This window comes from Homo sapiens, chromosome 8, assembly GCF_000001405.40.
Source record: "Homo sapiens chromosome 8, GRCh38.p14 Primary Assembly".
Lineage (NCBI taxonomy): Eukaryota > Metazoa > Chordata > Mammalia > Primates > Hominidae > Homo > Homo sapiens.
This window is the reverse complement of record NC_000008.11, coordinates 75,217,998-75,236,796: the sequence shown is the minus strand read 5'-3', so window position 1 is coordinate 75,236,796 and position 18,799 is coordinate 75,217,998. Positions and strand designations below refer to the sequence as shown.

Here is an 18,799-nt window from a genome sequence, read left to right as displayed (position 1 = left end):
GCAGCAAAATAAAAAGAATAAAAAGGTAATATAATGAGAGTATCTGGGGCAACGACCAGAGCTCTAAATTACGGGGACACACTGTGATTGAGCAAAATAGTCAACTTCATGACTAAAATGAAAATTATTAGAGTGCCTTTTAATGTAATGAAATGCGGTTTATTTTTCCTGAGTATTACTATCATAGGCAGATAATTCTTTTCAGGATTTGCTATCATAATATTTGATATTCTTCATTTTTTTTTTTTTTGGCAGTCTTAGTGTTTTTCCTAAACTGCACGTGGTTTTCACTATCTACCTTGTGTGAATTATTTTTAAAGCCTTACTAAAAATCTTGTCATCTACTTGCCAATGAAAAAAATTAATTAAGAAAGCTACTAAATTACTTGAAATGTTTTATAAGCTCAATATGCTGAAGATAAAGGCTATTTGTAATTATCAAATTACTTAAAAATTTGATTAAGCATCATATAATATAGAGATAAGATTAGATAGTCATGCAGAAATACACATATGAATAAGATCTAAAACATACAACTGAATATCTTAAGGAGCATATATTGTTTACTTGACAAGTTAACCCATATGGTAATATCAGGAAAACATTGAACTTGCACTGGTAACCTGCTGAATTTATTAGGTCAGGAAGAAAAGCATCGATAACATTAAAGAACACTATTAGAGTATTAATACAAGTCACTAGTATTTTAAGGTTTCTCCTTCCTGAGCACATAAAACGTTGTTTTTTTCTAGGTTACTTTCTAATAGTGAATGCACTTTGAAAAACAAATAACCAAAGCCCCTTTACTCTGTTTAAATTGTGGGTGTTTGTTATTCAAAAGTAAAAATATTTATTTTTCAGTCTCTGACTGTCAATCATCAAAATTTATGCAGTTTTCAAAACATTGAAAAACAAATACAGGCTCTTAGTTGTATTAAGTTTGGCATATACTGTGTAAATACTCTGTGACCAACTAGTGTTTACAGAGTAGTGGAAAGCTTAAAGAGCATAATAGTATTAGCTTAGAATTCAAAACAAAAATTCATAACAAGCCCAGTGATTTCATGAAATGGGCTATGTTTCCCAGGAATATATTTTCAAGATAATTAGATGTCAATTAGCAATTACTTCACTAAGTAGAAATACATTTTCTATCAATGTTAGTGGAAGAGATTTAAACATTCAAACTTTGGTGAGAGTAGCTGGAAGGTCCCTCTCTGTATTTTTCCTTCTCAGTGTGAAAGTATCTTAAGTATCTAGTAAATTATACAATTTAAAGCCCCTCATCTACCTTTTGTAACTGCCTTTAAAAAATGAACAGACTTCATATTACTTCAAATATATATTTTATGAAGAATGTCATTTTCCTACAGTTGGCACATTGGTGTTCCTGGTTCTGCTCACATAATGATAATTAAGTTCAAAGATGCTCCCTGCTGTGGCAATTTCAATGAGCATATGTAATGTAAAGGACTGAGCAAATAGAATCAGATGGACTTGGTGTATATTTTTACTAGGCATACAATCCAGGAGAAGTTAGTCTTCATGGAACTCCAGTTAAGTCATTCATAAATTGGATATAATTGGTTATTCAGAACATAAAGTGATTTATCAAAGTACTTTCATCATTATGGAAACCTAGAAAGTCCTCAATGAAGTAGTCTCTTTTCTGCTCCTTGAAATACAGTTTTTCTGCCATCCACCTATGCTCTATTAGCTAAAATTAGCCACGTCCTCATCAACACTACCCCTATTGTGGTATTTTGTTATACCTGAGGACATATCTCAGTCTTCAGAGCTTCTACATCTATGACAGAAACTATAAAGTGGTTGAATTTTACACAAACCTTAAAAGATGAGCATAACTTAAAAATGTTAAAATTATAAGGTAAAGTCAAAGATTAAGGTTAGAAGAAACGCTAAAATTAGATCTTAAAATTTTTAAATGAAAAGACTATAAAAAGTTAAAACCAATGTGAAAATGCATAATTATAGCAAGGTTAAGATATAATGATAAAATCAAGAAGGCAAAAATTTATTAAGCTTGTGACTATGAAGAGAACTAAAATAAAACAGGTAAGATAAGAAATAAAATTGTAGTTTTAAAAAATAGTAACTTCTAAAGAGCTTTAGAAATAAAACAGACAACAATAGATAAATCTAAAGAATGAATATTAAAACAAGGAAATAAACATTTATAAATATAAAAAGGAATTCAGTTTTTGAAGCTCTAAAAGTAAATAAAAATAAGAGAAATAGGTCAAGTAGCTAAAGAAATAATAATTCAAAGACATTAGAAAGTTAAAGAGGTATGTGATAAAAATACAATATTTAATTCAAGTCAAAGTGCTAAAAAATGAGAATATGAATAATATGTAATTTTAAGATGATGTGATTTAAAAGTTAAAACCAGAAAGCCTAAATTATGAGACAGATAAAATAGTTCAAAGGAAAAAGCAATTGTGTGTGTGCATATACATAAGCATATGTATATTTACATACATTATCTTTTGGACTATATATCTGAACAATACACCAAACAATTAGGAGTAGGATGAAGCAAAAAGTCCGAGGTAATTTTGCTCTGTGCCTCAAGCTATGATCTCAAGTTAGAATGGCTGTCAAGGGGAAAGACAGCTTTAAGCAACTACCCTACTTTTCCTCATGATTTCTCTATCTTTGGCAAGGAAAAATACTCAGAAAAACAAGGAAAGGACATTGACTGTTATGAACATAGACCCATGTATGGAGATTGTGTTTGTGGGTAGACACTGTAAGGGCAGAGAAAATATGGGGTGGTAAATGGGGGTGGAAGGTGTTCGTTGTACATGTGAGGAATGAAAAGATCTGAAGAATATGAATGTGAGAGGAAATCAAGGAAGAGAGAGAAGTGCAAATGAAAAATGATGCCATGCTCTGTGGACTGTATTTCATATAATATCTTTCTTAAGTGAAAATAAATGTTGGAATTTTTAAAGTTTTAAGAGATATATACATATATATGTATATATATGTGTGTATATATATGTGTATATATATGCGTGTATATATGTATATATATGTGTGTATATATGTATATATGTGTGTGTATATGTATATATATGTGTGTGTATATATATGTATATATATGTGTGTGTATATATATGTATATATATGTGTGTGTGTATATATATATGTCTGTGGAGATATATATATATATATATAGTTGTTGGGGGGGGTGGTGAAAACTCTGTTGGACAGGAGTTCCTAAAATGTGATGTCAATTTGCAAACTCTTGGTTATAGTTTCAGTGGCATTTCATTTTCCCACGCAGATAAAATGCTTGAATAACATTCCTGAAACTACTACAGAGGGCCTGGTGGGTTAGGGTATGTGTTGTCCATCTACACTCCCCTATACTTAACATGATGTCTTTGTTGTGGTAAGGGCTCAATAAAATTGTCTGAAACTGGTACTGGAAAAAATGTTTTCTGGATCCTAAGACTTCTTTACAGAAACATTCCAAAAAGTAATTCATCCATTGATTTTCATTGTCAAGTAATATTTCAGATTTTTCACTTTCTAGGATTAGTCATTAGTTTTAAAGTTGCTGATAGAGACATGATAAAAACACTATAGGAAATTTAGCATTGCATCATTATTTAAATTATGTGCAAACATTTCTGAATCAATATTTGTTCTTTTGAATAAAAACAATAGTCTTTTTGAGCTTATTTTGCACAACAGTGAAATGAAAAAAATATAAGTATTAAAATAGAAACATAAGACAACTTAGAAGAAAAAACATGTGTTACTCTATTCAAGGACACACCAGAAATGAGAATTATTTTCTTATATTTTCCAACTTGTAATGTGTTTTACTGTGAAAAAAGTAAAACATGCAAAGTTTGACATTTCTTCCAAGATAATTTATCTTTTATCTAATCTGTGCTTCTTTATTTAGCTGAATTAGTAACAGGAATCCAATATTTTGGGTCTATTCTTTTGCTGGTGTGTAATTCTTTTGATCTTATCCAAATGAGTACCGAGGCTTGGTCATTCTACAGCCCCTTTCTGCCAAGGGCTTCTTTATCCCCTTCTACTTAGGATTTTATATTTTTATCATCTTCCCCACTCCTTTCTTACAAAAATGAGACTATTTTTTAGAGCAGTTTTAGTTTACAGCAAAATTAAGAGGAAGATACAGAGTTTTCCCATAAACCTCCCACCCTTGCATATGCACAGCCCCCCCCATTATCAACATCTTCCACCAGAGAGGTATGTTTCTCACAATTGGTGGACCTACAATGACACATCCTAATCACCCAAAGTCCATAGTGTACATTAGGGTTCACTCTTGGCGTTGTACATCCAACACCATGTAAAATTACAATCCAACATTAGTTTTGGGTGGGAACAAAGAGCCAAACTACATCAATCCACCATTATAGTATCATGAAGTATAGTTTCACTGCCCTAAAAATGCTCTGTGCTTTGCCTATTCATCCCTCCAACACCCCGACTCTTGGCAATCACTGATCCTTTTACTGACTTCATAGTTTTATCTATTCTAGAATGTCATAGTGTTGGAATCATACAGTATGTAGTCTTTTCAAATTGGCTACTTTCACTTAATAATATGAACTTAAGCTTCTTCCATGTCTTTTCATGGGTTATTAGATCACTTATTTTTAATGCTCATTTATATTTCATTGGATGTACCAGTTTATTCATTCATTCACATACTGAAGAACATCTTGATTGGTTTCAAGTTTTCACAATTATAAATAAAACTACTATAGGCTGGGCGCAGTGGCTCACGCCTGTAATCCCAGTACTGTGGGAGGCCTAGGCGGGCAGATCACGAAGTCAGGAGATCGAGACCATCCTGGCTAACATGGCGAAACCTCGTCTCTACTAAAAATACAAAAAAAATAGCTGGACGTGGTGGCGGGCGCCTGTGGTCCCAGCTGCTCAGGAGGCTGAGGCAGGAGAAAGGCGTGAACCCAGGAGGCGGAGCTTGCAGTGAGCCGAGATCGCGCCACTGCACTCCAGCCTGGGCGACAGAGCGAGACTCCTTCTCTACAAAGAAAAAAAAAAAGAAAAAAAACTATAAACATCCAGGTGCAACCTTTTGTGTGAACATAAGTTTTCATCTCTTTTGGGTAAATATCAAATGGCCAATATCTGGATTGAATCGTAAGAATTTTTAATTTCGTAAGAATTGCAAAACTGTCTGTCGAAGTGACTATACAATTGCACATTTCCAGCATCAATGACTGAAAGTTTCTGTTGCTTCATATCTTGGTCAACATTTGGCATCAGCATTCCAGATTTGGGTCATTTGAACCGGTATGTAATGGGATTATGTTGTTGTTTGAATTTGCATTTCCCTGATGACATATGATGTGGACATCTTATAATATGTTTATTTGCAATCTGTATATCTTCTTTAATATAAGGTCTATTTTATTTGCCATTTATATGTCTTCTTATGATGTCAGGTGTCTGTTAAGGTATTTTACCCATTTTTAAATCACGTAGCTTCTTTTCTTATTATTGAACTTTAATAGTCTTTATATAATTTGGATAATAGTCCTGTATCAGATAAGTCTTGCAAATATTTTCTCCAAACCTGCTGCTTGTCTTTTCATTCTCTTGACATTGCCTTAGAGAAGAAATTTTTTTTTCTTATTTTTTTTATTATACTTTAAGTTCTAGGGTACATGTGCACAACATGCAGGTTTGTTACATATGTACATATATGCCATGTTGGTGTGCTGCACCCATTAACTCGTCCTTTACTTTAGGTATATCTCCTAATGCTATCCCTCCCCCCTCCCCCCACCCTACGACAGGCCCCAGTGTATGATGTTCCCCACCCTGTGTCCAAGTGTTCTCATTGTTAAATTCCAACCTATGAATGAGAACATGCGGTGTTTGGTTTTCTGTCCATGGGATAATTTGCTCAGAATGATGGTTTCCAGCTTCATCCATGTCCCTACAAAGGACATGAACTCATCCTTTTTCATGGCTGCAGAGTATTCCATGGTGTATATATGCCACATTTTCTTAATCCAGTCTATCATTGATGGACATTTGGGTTGGTTCCAAGTCTTTGCTATTGTGAATAGTGCCATAATAAACATACGTGTGCATGTGTCTTTATAGCACCTGATTTATAATCCTTTGGGTATATACCCAGTAATGGGATGGCTGGGTCAAATGGTATTTCTAGTTCTAGATCCCTGAGGAATCGCCACACTGACTTCCACAATGGTTGAACTAGTTTACAGTCCCACCAACAGTGTAAAAGTGTTCCTATTTCTCCACATCCTCTCCAGCACCTGTTGTTTCCTGACTTTTTAATGATTGCCATTCTAACTGGTGTGAGATGGTAGCTCACTGGGGTTTTGATTTGCATTTCTCTGATGGCCAGTGATGATGAACATTTTTTCATGTGTCTGTTGCCTGCATAAATGTCTTTAGAGAAGAAATTTTTAATTTTTTTTTTAATCGAGACAGAGTCTCTCTATTGCCCAGGCTGGAGTGCAGTGGAGCAATCTCGGCTCACTGCAACCTCCAACTCCTGGGTTCAAGCAATTCTCCTGCCTCAGCCTCCCAAGTAGCTGGAATTGCAGGTACATGCCACGATGACCAGCTAATTTTTGTATTTTTAGTAAAGATGAGGTTTTGCCACGCTGGCCAAGCTGGTCTCGAACTCCTGACTTCAAGTGATCCACCCACCTCAGCCTCCCAAAGTGCTGGGATTACAGGAATGAGCCATCATGCCTGGCCTGAAATGTTTAATTTCAATGAAGTCCAGCTTAACAATTATTTCTGTCATAGATCATGGCTTTGATGTTGTAGTATCTAAAAAGTTTTCATTATACTGAAGGTAATTAAGGTTTTCTCCTCTGTTATCTTCTAGTTGTTTTATAGCTAAGAAAATCTTACAAAGGATGACTAACATTTTTAATTTCATGCTATTTTGTGACTCTCTTTTGTGACTCCCAACTTAAAATTCTTCATGATAGTATTGGTTACTAAAAATAAAAAATGAAATTTATGGCACATTTGGGCTAAGGTGAGACAGAAAGTCATAGGGCATGAAATATAAAATCAACACTAATAATTCAGAAGAGGCAGAACATAAGTATCAGATCATGAAAACACTTAATAGTTCCATAAGAATCTTGGGACATAACCACAAACAGAAAAAGGGAACTAGATTTCTCAGTTTGGGGGATGGAACTTACAGTTAGTTATTTTGAAAGCTGAATGGTGATGGCCACTTCAGAAGACTTAGAAATATATGAGCTTCTGACCCTTGGATTATATAATAAACTATTATACCTACTTTTAAGTATCTCTTAAAATATATATTTTACTCCATTTCTCTTCCTACCACCAATAACTGAATGGTCTCCTAATTTTTCTTGCCCTTTATACTTTTTCTCTCTTCCAACCCATCTTCAGATCCCATAACACATTTTACTACTGTAACACTAGCCAGTGTGAACCCTTTGAAAATAATATTATCTGGATATTTTCAGTCTTTCAATAAGAAAGAATAACATCCATGTGGCTTATGATATATTTAGATTTACTTCCACCATATTATTAAGGTTTTATATTTACTATGCTTAATATTTGTTTTCTTTTTCTTTACTAACAACTGTTAGATTGGTAAAATTATCTTAAATGTCTTACTTCAACTTTCTACTTCTATTATTGTACATTTTACATTTCTAGTTTGTGTGCCCTATTTCTTTTGCCATCCTAACCAAGTCTAGAGTTAAACCTGTTTCTCTATTTATCTCACCAGAACTGTGAAAGAATAAGTTTCTGTTGTTTGACACCACACAGTTTGTGGCACTTTGCTACCATGTTTCTAGGAAACTGATATTCATCATTTTTCTAATTGCCTCAGGGAATTCTTATTTGGTAGTCTCTCCTTATTCTCAGGGGATACATTCCAAGCCTCCCAGCGGACGCCTGAAACCACAGATGGTACCAAACCACATGTACAGTATGTTTTTTCAACACGAAAACTAGGAGGGCTAGTAAGTGACTAGCGAGTGGGTAATGTATACAGCATGGAGACCACTGGATAAAGGGATGTTTCACGTCCTGGATGGGACAGAAAACATGGGCACAAGATTTCATCATGCTGCTTAGCACATCTAGCAATTTAAAACTTATGAATTGCTTATTTCTGGAATTTTCCATTTAATATTTTTGGATTGTGGTTGATTGCAGGTAACTGAAACTGTGAAAGCAAAACAAGGATGAAGGGGGACTACTGCTGTTTTCTCTGTTTGAAAAGTGTGCACTAGAATTTTTCACTTAGTTAACTCCATCTTTGAAGTTTCATTTCAACTAAACGTTACTTTATCTCTGCCCTCCTTCACCAAATAGGGTTCTGTTATATACTTTCATTGAGCCTTGCATTTTTCTTTATAAAGCATTTCCCACAGATGTGACTAAGCATTAATATCATTATTGTTTATGATTTATGCCCTCCACTAGAATGTAAGCTCCCTGAGGACACAGAAACATGTTCACCTCTATCCCCTTACCACCTATGGTCATATCTAGCCCATGGAAAATTTCAAGTAAATATATTTTGAAGGATTTAATTAATATACATCATAACAAGGCTGAATTTCAGAGTACTGACATTCCTAGTTTAAAGAATATATCTATTCAGGAATAACAAGTAGAGACCTTTTTCATTTAAAAAAAATTCTCAAACACTAAACATGTATTTACTCATTAGCACATCAGATTAATGAATCAAATTTTTTTTTACAATTTTTTAAAGAAGTTTAGTTAAGAGTTTCCATCAGTGTGAGCCATCTACCAGAATCAGTAGTCCTACTTTAAACAACATTTGGCATTTCTACTTAAATCTGTTTTTCTTCGTTGATAGAAATATCATTTTCTTTTAACTTTTACCTGCTGAATATTTCTTCTTAGACATTTGCCCAAGCCATTCTTTGTAGATATACACGTAGAATGAAGAAGTTATTCAGTGGTAGTGAGAGAAGGCAGTGTAAAGATGTGAAGAAAATAATCGTGCTTAGTTATCAAAGTGTCCCTCAATTCCAGGGAAATGGCCTACAGATGATCGCTCACAGCCAGGAAGAGGAGAGAATATCGTAAACAGAAAGCATGTGATTATGAATGAGCTTAGCAATGATTACATGGAATGCGGTTGGGGAGATAATCACAGCAATCTATGTGAGGCAGAATATTCACAAGTAGATAAAACTTGATCAGATGGGAAAAAAAAATTATCTCCAGGTTAACAAACAGAACATTTTGAAAAAAGTTGTTCTGACACTGTTGCAAACTTGCTTTCATACTGAGGAGCATTTATTAATTTTTGGTGATTCTTTCTTTTATGATGCAGACTGATTTCAGTAACGCTATCCAAGCATGGTCTTTTCTTGGTACTAAGAATATAGTATTCAGCCTCAAACTCCAATTCTTCCGTATGAGAATACATAGATGATAATTAGGCTTTGTAAAGTAGATGTTGTTAGGTAGGAATAAAAAGTTTATCCTTGAAATGTAAAATCAGTAAGCCACAATTACTTTTTTGTAACTATAAACATGGGGAATTTCTCCTTAAATTTGAAACACTTTCATTTGATAGTCAACAGCAAAATCCGTCCATTAAAAAAATGTGTATCTAAATTAACATGTCTTTGAGATCCCCATCAGCTCAATTAAGCATACCTTCCTTCCAGTGCCACACTAGATCTTGTAAGAACTGATATAAAATGTTACGTGTGGAACTCTTTTTCAAATGAGGTGTTCTATATAAATATATATCACTATTACTTACATTTTAATCAAGATTTTATAGGATTTTAACTAAATCAACTTTCCTCAAATGCTTTAATTATTTTATATTGGATTGTTAATCTATAACTGGAGAAAAAAATAAGTGCTTCTGAGACTTTAATTTCATGCACTGAAAAATTTATATCTTTATTTTATGACTGCCTTTTTAGAATTATGGCGATTAGGGTAATTCAGTTTCTGAAAAGGGCATTAAGAATACCCACTGTGGGCTGGGCATGATTGCTCATACCTATAATCCCAGCACTTTGGGAGGCTGAGGTGGGCGGATCACCTCAGGTCAGGAGTTCCAGACCAGCCTGGCCAACATGATGAAACCCCGTCTCTATTAAAAATACAAAAATTAGCCAGACACAGTGGGGTGTGCCCCTGTAATCCCAGCTACTTGGGAGGCTGAGGCAGGAGAATCACTTGAACCCAGAAGGCGGAGGTTGCAGTGAGCCAAGATGAGACCACTACACTCCCACCTAGGTGAAAGAGCAAGACTTCGTCTAAAAAAAAAAAAAAAAAAAGGTACCCTCTCTGAGTTAAAGGCATACACTTTAGTTAATGTGAACTTATGATGATTAATTTAATCAAATACATACTGTATCAATAAGATATTCTCTGTAACAAAATATCACAAACTCATAGAAATAAAGTCTTTTTTTTTTTTTTCCATAAATCTTAGCTACACTATCTCTGACTGAAAATTAGCTGGACCACTTTCCTGGTGTTAGCTAAGCTTGCTCATGAGTCTCTTTCAGTGGAGGATCAGCTACTGAGGCCGAAATAATACTCAAGCTGCAGGTTTTCACATCAGCCATGTAGTCCTACTCCAGGCTATCTCATCTCGTTAGACAACAGGGCTAGCTGCATGCTCTTTCGATGATGGCAAAAGTACAAGGGAACAAGTCCATTCATGCCATGCTTTTGTTGCCTTCAGGCATGTCGCATGCACTCACATTCATTGGCTGAAGTAAATCAAACGACCAATTCTAAAGAGGGAGAAAAGTGTATCTCAGTTATTGTTGAGGAACTTGCAAAATGATGTAACAACGGGAATGAATACAGACTGTGATGAAATAAGTGTTAAAGCAATAATTTAATCTGCCACAGGCATCTTTTTAATTTTATTGATAATTTGACTCTAAATTACCCTTCGGATTATTGAAATGGTTGAGTGTTATGTATGTTGGGTTATATCAAACCTTGATATATATCCTTAATTTTATCTACTTTTACTATTTTTCTGAATGATATCATTATTGGAGATATGGGTCCTGGGCATGCAACATGGGATAATCTAATATTAGAAAAAGTAATAATTATTAAAATATTAGGTGTGTAAGAATAATTTCTAGTGTTCCTGAATATATGGGTGTATTGAAAACTAAGGTTTGGCTTTATACAGAAAAGCAAATTAAAATATCCTCACTGCCCTAGGAAAACTACAGTTCTTATAACTCAAAGGTTGAAAGATTTATTTCCCTGCTGACCAAGGTTTCAGCAGATCAATTAAGGAAGCATGTTCTTTTCTTCTGCTGCCATGTGCAGGAAGAAAAATATGTTGATTATGCCATTTCAGGGTACTGTATACACAAAGTCAACTTTATGAGTCGGTCTAACCTACAGTGCAGGACTCAGAAATTGGAAGCCAGAAAATAATCAGTCTCTGTCCACTTGGCAGCCTGAACTATCATGAAGGCCAGTGGTTGGCTGACAGGATTTGGAGCTTGGAGTGACTCTCACTTCACAGCTTCTGATCACAGGAATAGGAATGAAGCTCCCTCAGTAAAGTTTGAGAGAATAAGATTGCTACATAACATATGCCCTGAAATTTACAAAAGGCTTACAGCAATGTAATCTTTCTCCTCCAGGGGAGGAAATGAGTCCCATTAAAATATTTAGGTTTTACAATACTGTAGAGGAAGGAAAATGCCATTAATATCATCAAGTCAGCCATAATGGGTTCCCTTTCATCACAGGACTAATTTTCCTTCTGGCTTCTTCCCCTACACAATGATTTTTCTGTGTGGCGCCTCTGTTAGGTTAATGGCAAACATCTTGTGTAGTAAAGCAATAAATCAGCCCCTTATTAACCTGGGCTCTTTTAATTTTGAGATTTTTAGAATAGTCTGAAAAAGTGTATCATTCTCTAAATAGTGTCTATGTAAACAAAGGGCTTATTATTTCTAAAATACATGGTTAAATAAAAATAATAGGCCCTTTCCAGTGTGATGTGATAATCGTTCAGAGTATATCATTGTGCCTTAGAGCTGAAAGTGACCTTGGAAACCTCACCTCCAACTTTACATTAGGGCATAGATCTCATCTAAAATATCCCTGAAAGAATGTGGTCTACTTTCTGATGAAGCACTTTCTGTGGAAAAGGCTCTTTCCAAGAGAAAAACGCAGCAGGAAGCCTAACAACGACTTTCAAACTCCCCACTGCTTATTTCTTCAGGTTCATAATATAAACTGTTCTTTTAAAAAAAGAAAGAAAAACTAGAAATTCTAGAAATTAATATAAAATTTAAATCTTTCAATAAGAAATTAAAAAATTTTATTTTAATTTCACTGTGTATTTTTATCTTCTCCTCCAGAATGTGATTTTGAAGAAAGGAGGAAAGATGTGAAAAGTGATTGGTCAGCCACATTCATGGTGTTGAGAAAAGAATTTGCTTTTCTGGAACATAGCCTGTGATAGCAGAACAACACCTGGCAAGAAACAGGTTATGTTTGGCTGGAGAGTCATTGGCACTATCAAGAAATATTAAAGTGTAGATTTGAGAGAGGAGGAGAAAGACCCAAGCAAAATTGAAAACCAGGTGGGACCCAGACAGCAGCAAAGCAATGGAAGCATGTATTTTGGTCAATATAGAGTTAATACACAATTTTGCCCCTCTTCTTCTGATCATGGGACTCATATTACCAGTCTTCACATTTCCTTTAAATTCAGGAATCAGGAAGAATTTCCAGAGTTTGCAGATGGACACATTTGCTGCTTCCATTCTAAACATAAGTTAGAAGAACCTTTCAACTGGATTCCAACTTTAATATGTCACAAACATAAAAAAGAAAGCTATTTCCTGGACTTTTCTTCATTAGAAATTAATAGATTGTCAATTGGCATAGGGAAAAGATAATCAACAGATGCCAACCCCAAGTTAACAGAAATGCTAAAATTATAAGACAAAGACTTCAAAATAGCTATTTTAATTTTGCCTAGTGAGGTAAATGCAAACATGCTCACTATGAATGAAAACAGGTAATCTCAGCAGTCATGTAAACTATAAAAATAAGCAAATATAAATTTTAGAATTAAAACACAATATCTAAAAATAAATTCACCTGATATTCTCAATAGAAAAAATGGTAATGCAGAGAAAAATGTATGAAAATATGGCAATTTGAAGAAGAGAGAAGAGATCAATAAAATAAATAAGTATATCCTTGGAGACCTGTGGATGTTTTTTGAAAAGTGAATCATGTAAGTAATTGAAGTCCCAGAAGAAAAGAAAAGAAGAGGATGAGCAGAAAAAAATTTCTGAAAAAATATCTGAAAGCTTAAACACTATAATGAAAGACACACATTTACAAACTCAAGAAGTTTAGTAAACCAAAAACAATAAAATCAAAGAGAACTGTGCCAAGCGACATCATTTTCAACCTGCTGAAGATCTTGACAGCAGTCAGAGAAAAAAGACACACTTATTACACAGAGAGGAACAATACATTAAATACTAGCACACTTCTCATCAGAGATCATTAAGCCCAGAAGACAGTGGAATGAGATCTTTAAAGTGCTGAAATAAAATAAATGTTGATTAAAAAATTCTATAGCTAATGGAAGTGTTCTTCTTTAAAAATTAATTGAAGCCATGTGTTTTGATCTATTTCTGAACTCTGTGTTTGGTTCCGATGATCTGTTGATGTATCCTTGCACCACTATCATACAGCTGATTGCGGCAGCTTTATAGTAAGTCATGGAATCAGGCAATAAGTTCCCCCGATTTGTTCTTTTGTTTCCCCGAGTCATAAAACTGCCATTTTTTGATGGTCTTCCTTCATGTGCTGCAACATGGAAAGTTCTTCTAGTCAGAAGTTTGGGTAAATTATAGGGCTTGCTTTGGTTGCTTCTTTCTATCAGAGATGTTCTTGTGCTGCTTTGTTGTTTGTTTAGGTTTGTTTGTTTGTTTGTCTTTTGGTACTTTGTCTAAGAACAGTTTTATTCTGTATTTTTTCAAATTTGTACATATTTATAGCTAATTCCAGCATCAATTACCTCACCATAGCCAGAAATGGAGTTTGCATGCTCTCACATTGCAGTATTTACCATACTTAAGATATTCACTCTCATCTTATGACCCATACGATTTTGTTGCTCACTTTTCATTTATGTTTGTAATACACGTGCAGAATAATCATCCCCCAAATTTTTCATATTTAATTTCCTTAGATTGTTCTGAAGTCAAAATAACAATAATTACTCCAAAACTGTGTTTCCATCTGCTATATTTGGCCCTGCCAAGTATGATGCTGAAGTTTGATCCCGAATGTTGGATGTAGGATCTGTTGGAAAGAGTCTGGGTCATGGGGGCATATCTCTCATGAATAGCTGGATGCTGTCCTCATGATAATAAGTAAGCTCTCACTCTATTAGTTCCCAAAAGAGCTACTCGTTAAAGAGCTTGGCACCTCTCTCTCTCTCTCTCTCTCTCTCTCTCTCTGCCTGCGCGCCCCCCACCCCACCCCGCACCGCCCCCCCACCCGGCCAACCCTTTCTGCTTTCACCATGTGGTGGCTCCCATTTACCTTCTGCCATGAGTGGAAGCAGCTTGAGGCCTTCACCAGATGCAGATGCTGGTGCCATGCTTTTTATACAGCCTGCACAACCATGAGCCAAATAAACCTCTTTTTATAAACTACTCAGCCTCAGGTCTTCCTTTGCAGCAACACAAATGGACTAAGACAGCACCTTTGTAAGCTTTCTTTACAATTATAAAGAAAGAACACTTTTTCAGGTATAATTCATAATTGATTATAATTTTAATGAACAAACTAATTTCTTAATATATTTTTAACCTTATGAGAATGTCACCATTTTGCATTGTGTATTACTAGGCTAATGACAAGAAAGATGAGCATATTGAGATGAGCACAATATGTAGATTAGAATTTTTGGTTAAATTAAATAAAAATAATTTTATGCATTATATAAATAGAGTTTTTATGTTTCAGATAGACAACAATGGTGAGAGAACTGAGTCAGTCATGGTACAGGTACAGTATACTCATAGAGAAAATAAAAGAACCTATATTTCATTATATTTCAATTCTTGACAGATAGTTTCATTAAAGAACATATTTTTTACATGCAAACATAATTATTTTGAATGTTATAAATTCTGTAGTTATAGACTTTAATTGTACGATTGTGCAAAACTTGTTAATCAACTAATGCATAGCTAGTTTTAATGTTATTTACATCATATTACAAGCAAAATTATTCTAACCAACACTAGGAGTGCAAAGGTGTTTTACTTTTAAAGGTATTTTGTTGTTGTTGCTGATATCAAAAGACACTACTTTTTAACAACAACAATAGAAAAGTAAAATAATTTTTAAGAATTATCTTCAACTTTTATTCAAAAGAGAAATGTTCTTGGGCACAAACCTCACTTGTGAGAAGTTTAAGAATTTGAACTTGGGACTTTTATAATTCTCTGCAGAGAGGATATTGAATTTGACCTAGTGGCAGAACCAAGAATAAGAGACATTGAGAATTATGGCTGTGTATGGGTCCACAAACGATTTCTCTATGCTCTTCTTATGGCTGTAAGTTAGGTCAAGTTAGATATATTTCATGTACAGTCCAAAAAATTTTGACTCTATAAGCTAGTGGCATAAAGTTTTATTTCTGACTGTTTCAAAACACAGACCAATTTCTAATTTCTAGCATTTATAATTTATAATTTTAGCATTACATACCTTTTCATTAACTCATTTTTTTAACCCTTCGACAGAAATGTGTAAAGTATAACCATTATTTAAAAATGTTTTGTGATTGAAAGTATAGCCAACTAGTTAACATTTAAATTCATTAGAGAACTCAAATATAGCTGAGAATAATTGTATTTTCTATGAATTATAATGAAGACACTAGCTGTGATGAGTAAAAATTGATGTTTTCTTCCTTTCCTGCTTGAAATTCTATCTAATTCAGGGTTTTGAACAGCCAGTCTAGTTATATTAAACAAATACAGTTAAAAAGAGGCTATTTTTTCAAACAAAAAGAGAGAAGCCTGAGATATATAAATGGTAATTGTTCTCTATAGTCAATTTTTGGCTTTCCAGAACACAATCCACATACTATACTAAGGTATGGTAGGTACATAGCTATAGTACAGCCCCTATACTATAGGTAGGATATACTGTAACCTGCCTCCTTTTTTTCTCTTTTCACAATTCCAAAAAGATCTCTGCATTAACAAAATCTATTAACAGTGCTTTATCCAAATAATGGTGGGGTTTTCTTTTCTACAATAAAGAATCCAGAGTTAGACAACTTAGTGTTAATAGAGTATCTTCATGGTGTCATCAGTGTCATAGGTTCCTATATATTTCCCGTTACCATCTTTAACAAACAAATGTGTTTGTATGGAATTTCTTTAATGAGTAAACTGGCTTTTACATCTCTATCCTTACAAACACAATGCTATTAAGAAGAAGAAGAAAAGTAAAAAGTGGGAGAGTAAAGCCAATATCAGAAATGCAAAATTTTCATAGAAATAGCTATCAAATTTCAGCTTATATTTCATTGGCTCAAATTGTAGCACATGGGTCATAAAACCTACAAAGAAAGCCTGAAAAAGTATTTTTCTACCTAGACAGATTGCTGCATTGTACAAAATCCAGACTTTATTTATGAGGAAAAAGTCTAGCAACTGAAATTTGCACCTAGCTTTTCCTAATAGCTCCAAGCTCAGGATTTATTAATTTTTATTTCTTTCAGCTACTACACATGGCTGTAACTCTACAAACCGGTTTTATAAAAAGGCTATGGTAATCACTCTTAATTACACTGAATGCCTGAAATAAAAACGATGTTAAAGATTAAATTAAAGGAAAAATTATCCTTATTTTAGAAAAAATGAAGAGGAGAGCCATATGCAGTGTCAACATTTCCTAACATATAACACATCCCACTGGACAGGCCTAATACGGATTCATTTCTCAGAATTGACTGACCTCTCTGGCAACAATTCTGCTTGTTGCAGGTCCTGCCCATTATAAAAGCTCATCTTCACATAAGGTCTTTGCAACTGTGACTTGTACAAAATGAGCAGCCCAAATCTGGTTTGCACGGAAAGCCTGGAAATTGCTTCAGTACTTGAACAAATATGGCTTTCTTCCTCTACCCCTTTTGAAATCAGGAACAATAATAGCCAACAGTAGCCCTTTAAAATCATAGTTGACACTCTCTCAATTTTGTCTGGGGAATCAATTAGTAACCAACACCAGGAATGTGGCAGACCATTATTTTAAAATCTAAGTTCAATATTCACTTTCCCTCTTAGCAACAAGACTGCCTTTCCCTCTAGGGTTTTGCTTCATGGCATTTGCTTTGGCCTCTGTATCTAAATTATAAACAAAAGACTGAAATGGGAAGGCCAGGCTAATCTTCTCTGGAATGTATTCCCTGATACCAGGCAACATTTCCATTACACAGTTGTATTGAAATTCCTTTGTCAGGCAAGAGGGGCACAGCATGGGTGCTTGGGAATAGTCTAGGATGTCAGATGTTTCTGGTTCTTTAGGCTAATCTGAGGCTTCACTATCATCCCTTGTCCTTTCTCTTTTCTTTTTTCATTCCTTTCTCATTTCCTTCTTTCCTTCCTTCCCTCCCTCCCTCCTTCCTTCCTTCCTTCTTTCCAACTACCTTTCCTTCCTTCCCTCCTTCCCTCCTTCCCCCTTCTCTCCTTCCCTCCCTCCTTCCCTCCATCCTTCCTTCCTTCCTTCCTTCCCTCCCTCCCTCCCTCCTTCCTTCCTTCCCTCCCTCTCTCCTTCCTTCCTTTCCTCTCTCCCTCCTTCCTTCCCTCCCTCCCTCCTTCCCTCCTTCCTTCCTTCCCTCTCTCCTTCCCTCCTTCCCTCCTTCCCTCTCTCCTTCCCTCCTTCCCTCCTTCCTTCCTTCCTTCCATCCTTCCTCCCTTCCTTCTTTCTCAGATTCTCTTGCCCTCATTTTTTCTATTTTTTTCTCCTCATGACAAAATATACACTTAAGTGATGTCCAGAATTTAATTCAAAATCACAATACGTATCAATCTCCAGGAGCAATTTTTCCTCCAGTGCCAGGAATTTAAATCAGAAATTCCAGAATCTCTCAGACAAATTTTGTTTTGAATGTGACAAAGTTTTTCACATTTCCAAAGTGTATACTAGACTGTTTAAAGTATGCTCTAAGAGTTTCCTGGATCAGCCTGCTGCATTTACTTCGTCAGAGGCACAGTTTCACAAGCAAAGTTTGGCTAATCTTCTCTAACAGTGCTTTTGGCTGTTTTTACTATTACATTTCTATTCCACTCATCTGCATTTCTGATGTTTTCCATTCTTTATTTCTCTGTTGAGAAAGTTCTTTAAAATGTCATTGTCCATCAAGAAGTGCTTTAAAAATATTCTCTCTTATTTTACACAACTTTTTGAAGCATTGAATTAATCAGTAAGATGTAACAGGTTTCACACACAAAATTCACCAGACATATTTAAACTACATACATTGTATGTCAATACCTGTCCTGGCTGCACCATATGGGTAATATATCCTTATGTTGTATTTGAATACCTGTCCCAGGCTGCATGGCATGGGAGACATGTCATTTAAAACTCACTAGACCCAAACAGATGCTCTGATTGAGAACAGGCTCTTCAATTTCTATCCTAAATAAACTTCTAGAGTTATAAAAA

At 34.8% G+C, this 18,799-nt stretch overlaps 1 long non-coding RNA gene across 3 annotated transcripts in view, besides 1 other annotated feature; it reads left to right on the top strand.

The window, feature by feature from the left end:
- The window catches only part of CASC9 (cancer susceptibility 9), a 55,773-nt gene extending 42,093 nt beyond the window's left edge, over positions 1-13,680 (top strand). For all 3 annotated transcript variants that reach the window (NR_103849.2, NR_103850.2, NR_103848.1), the window contains one exon: positions 12,439-13,680. This is a non-coding gene — a long non-coding RNA (cancer susceptibility 9). The remainder of the gene's footprint in view (positions 1-12,438) is intronic.
- Positions 17,273-17,868: an enhancer, noted in NCBI's record as "OCT4-NANOG-H3K27ac hESC enhancer chr8:76131164-76131759 (GRCh37/hg19 assembly coordinates)". NCBI's record gives its function as "activates a minimal SCP1, AML or CMV promoter by ChIP-STARR-seq in primed H9 embryonic stem cells {active_cell/tissue: H9 hESC(primed)}" and the evidence as "EXISTENCE:reporter gene assay evidence [ECO:0000049][PMID:30033119]".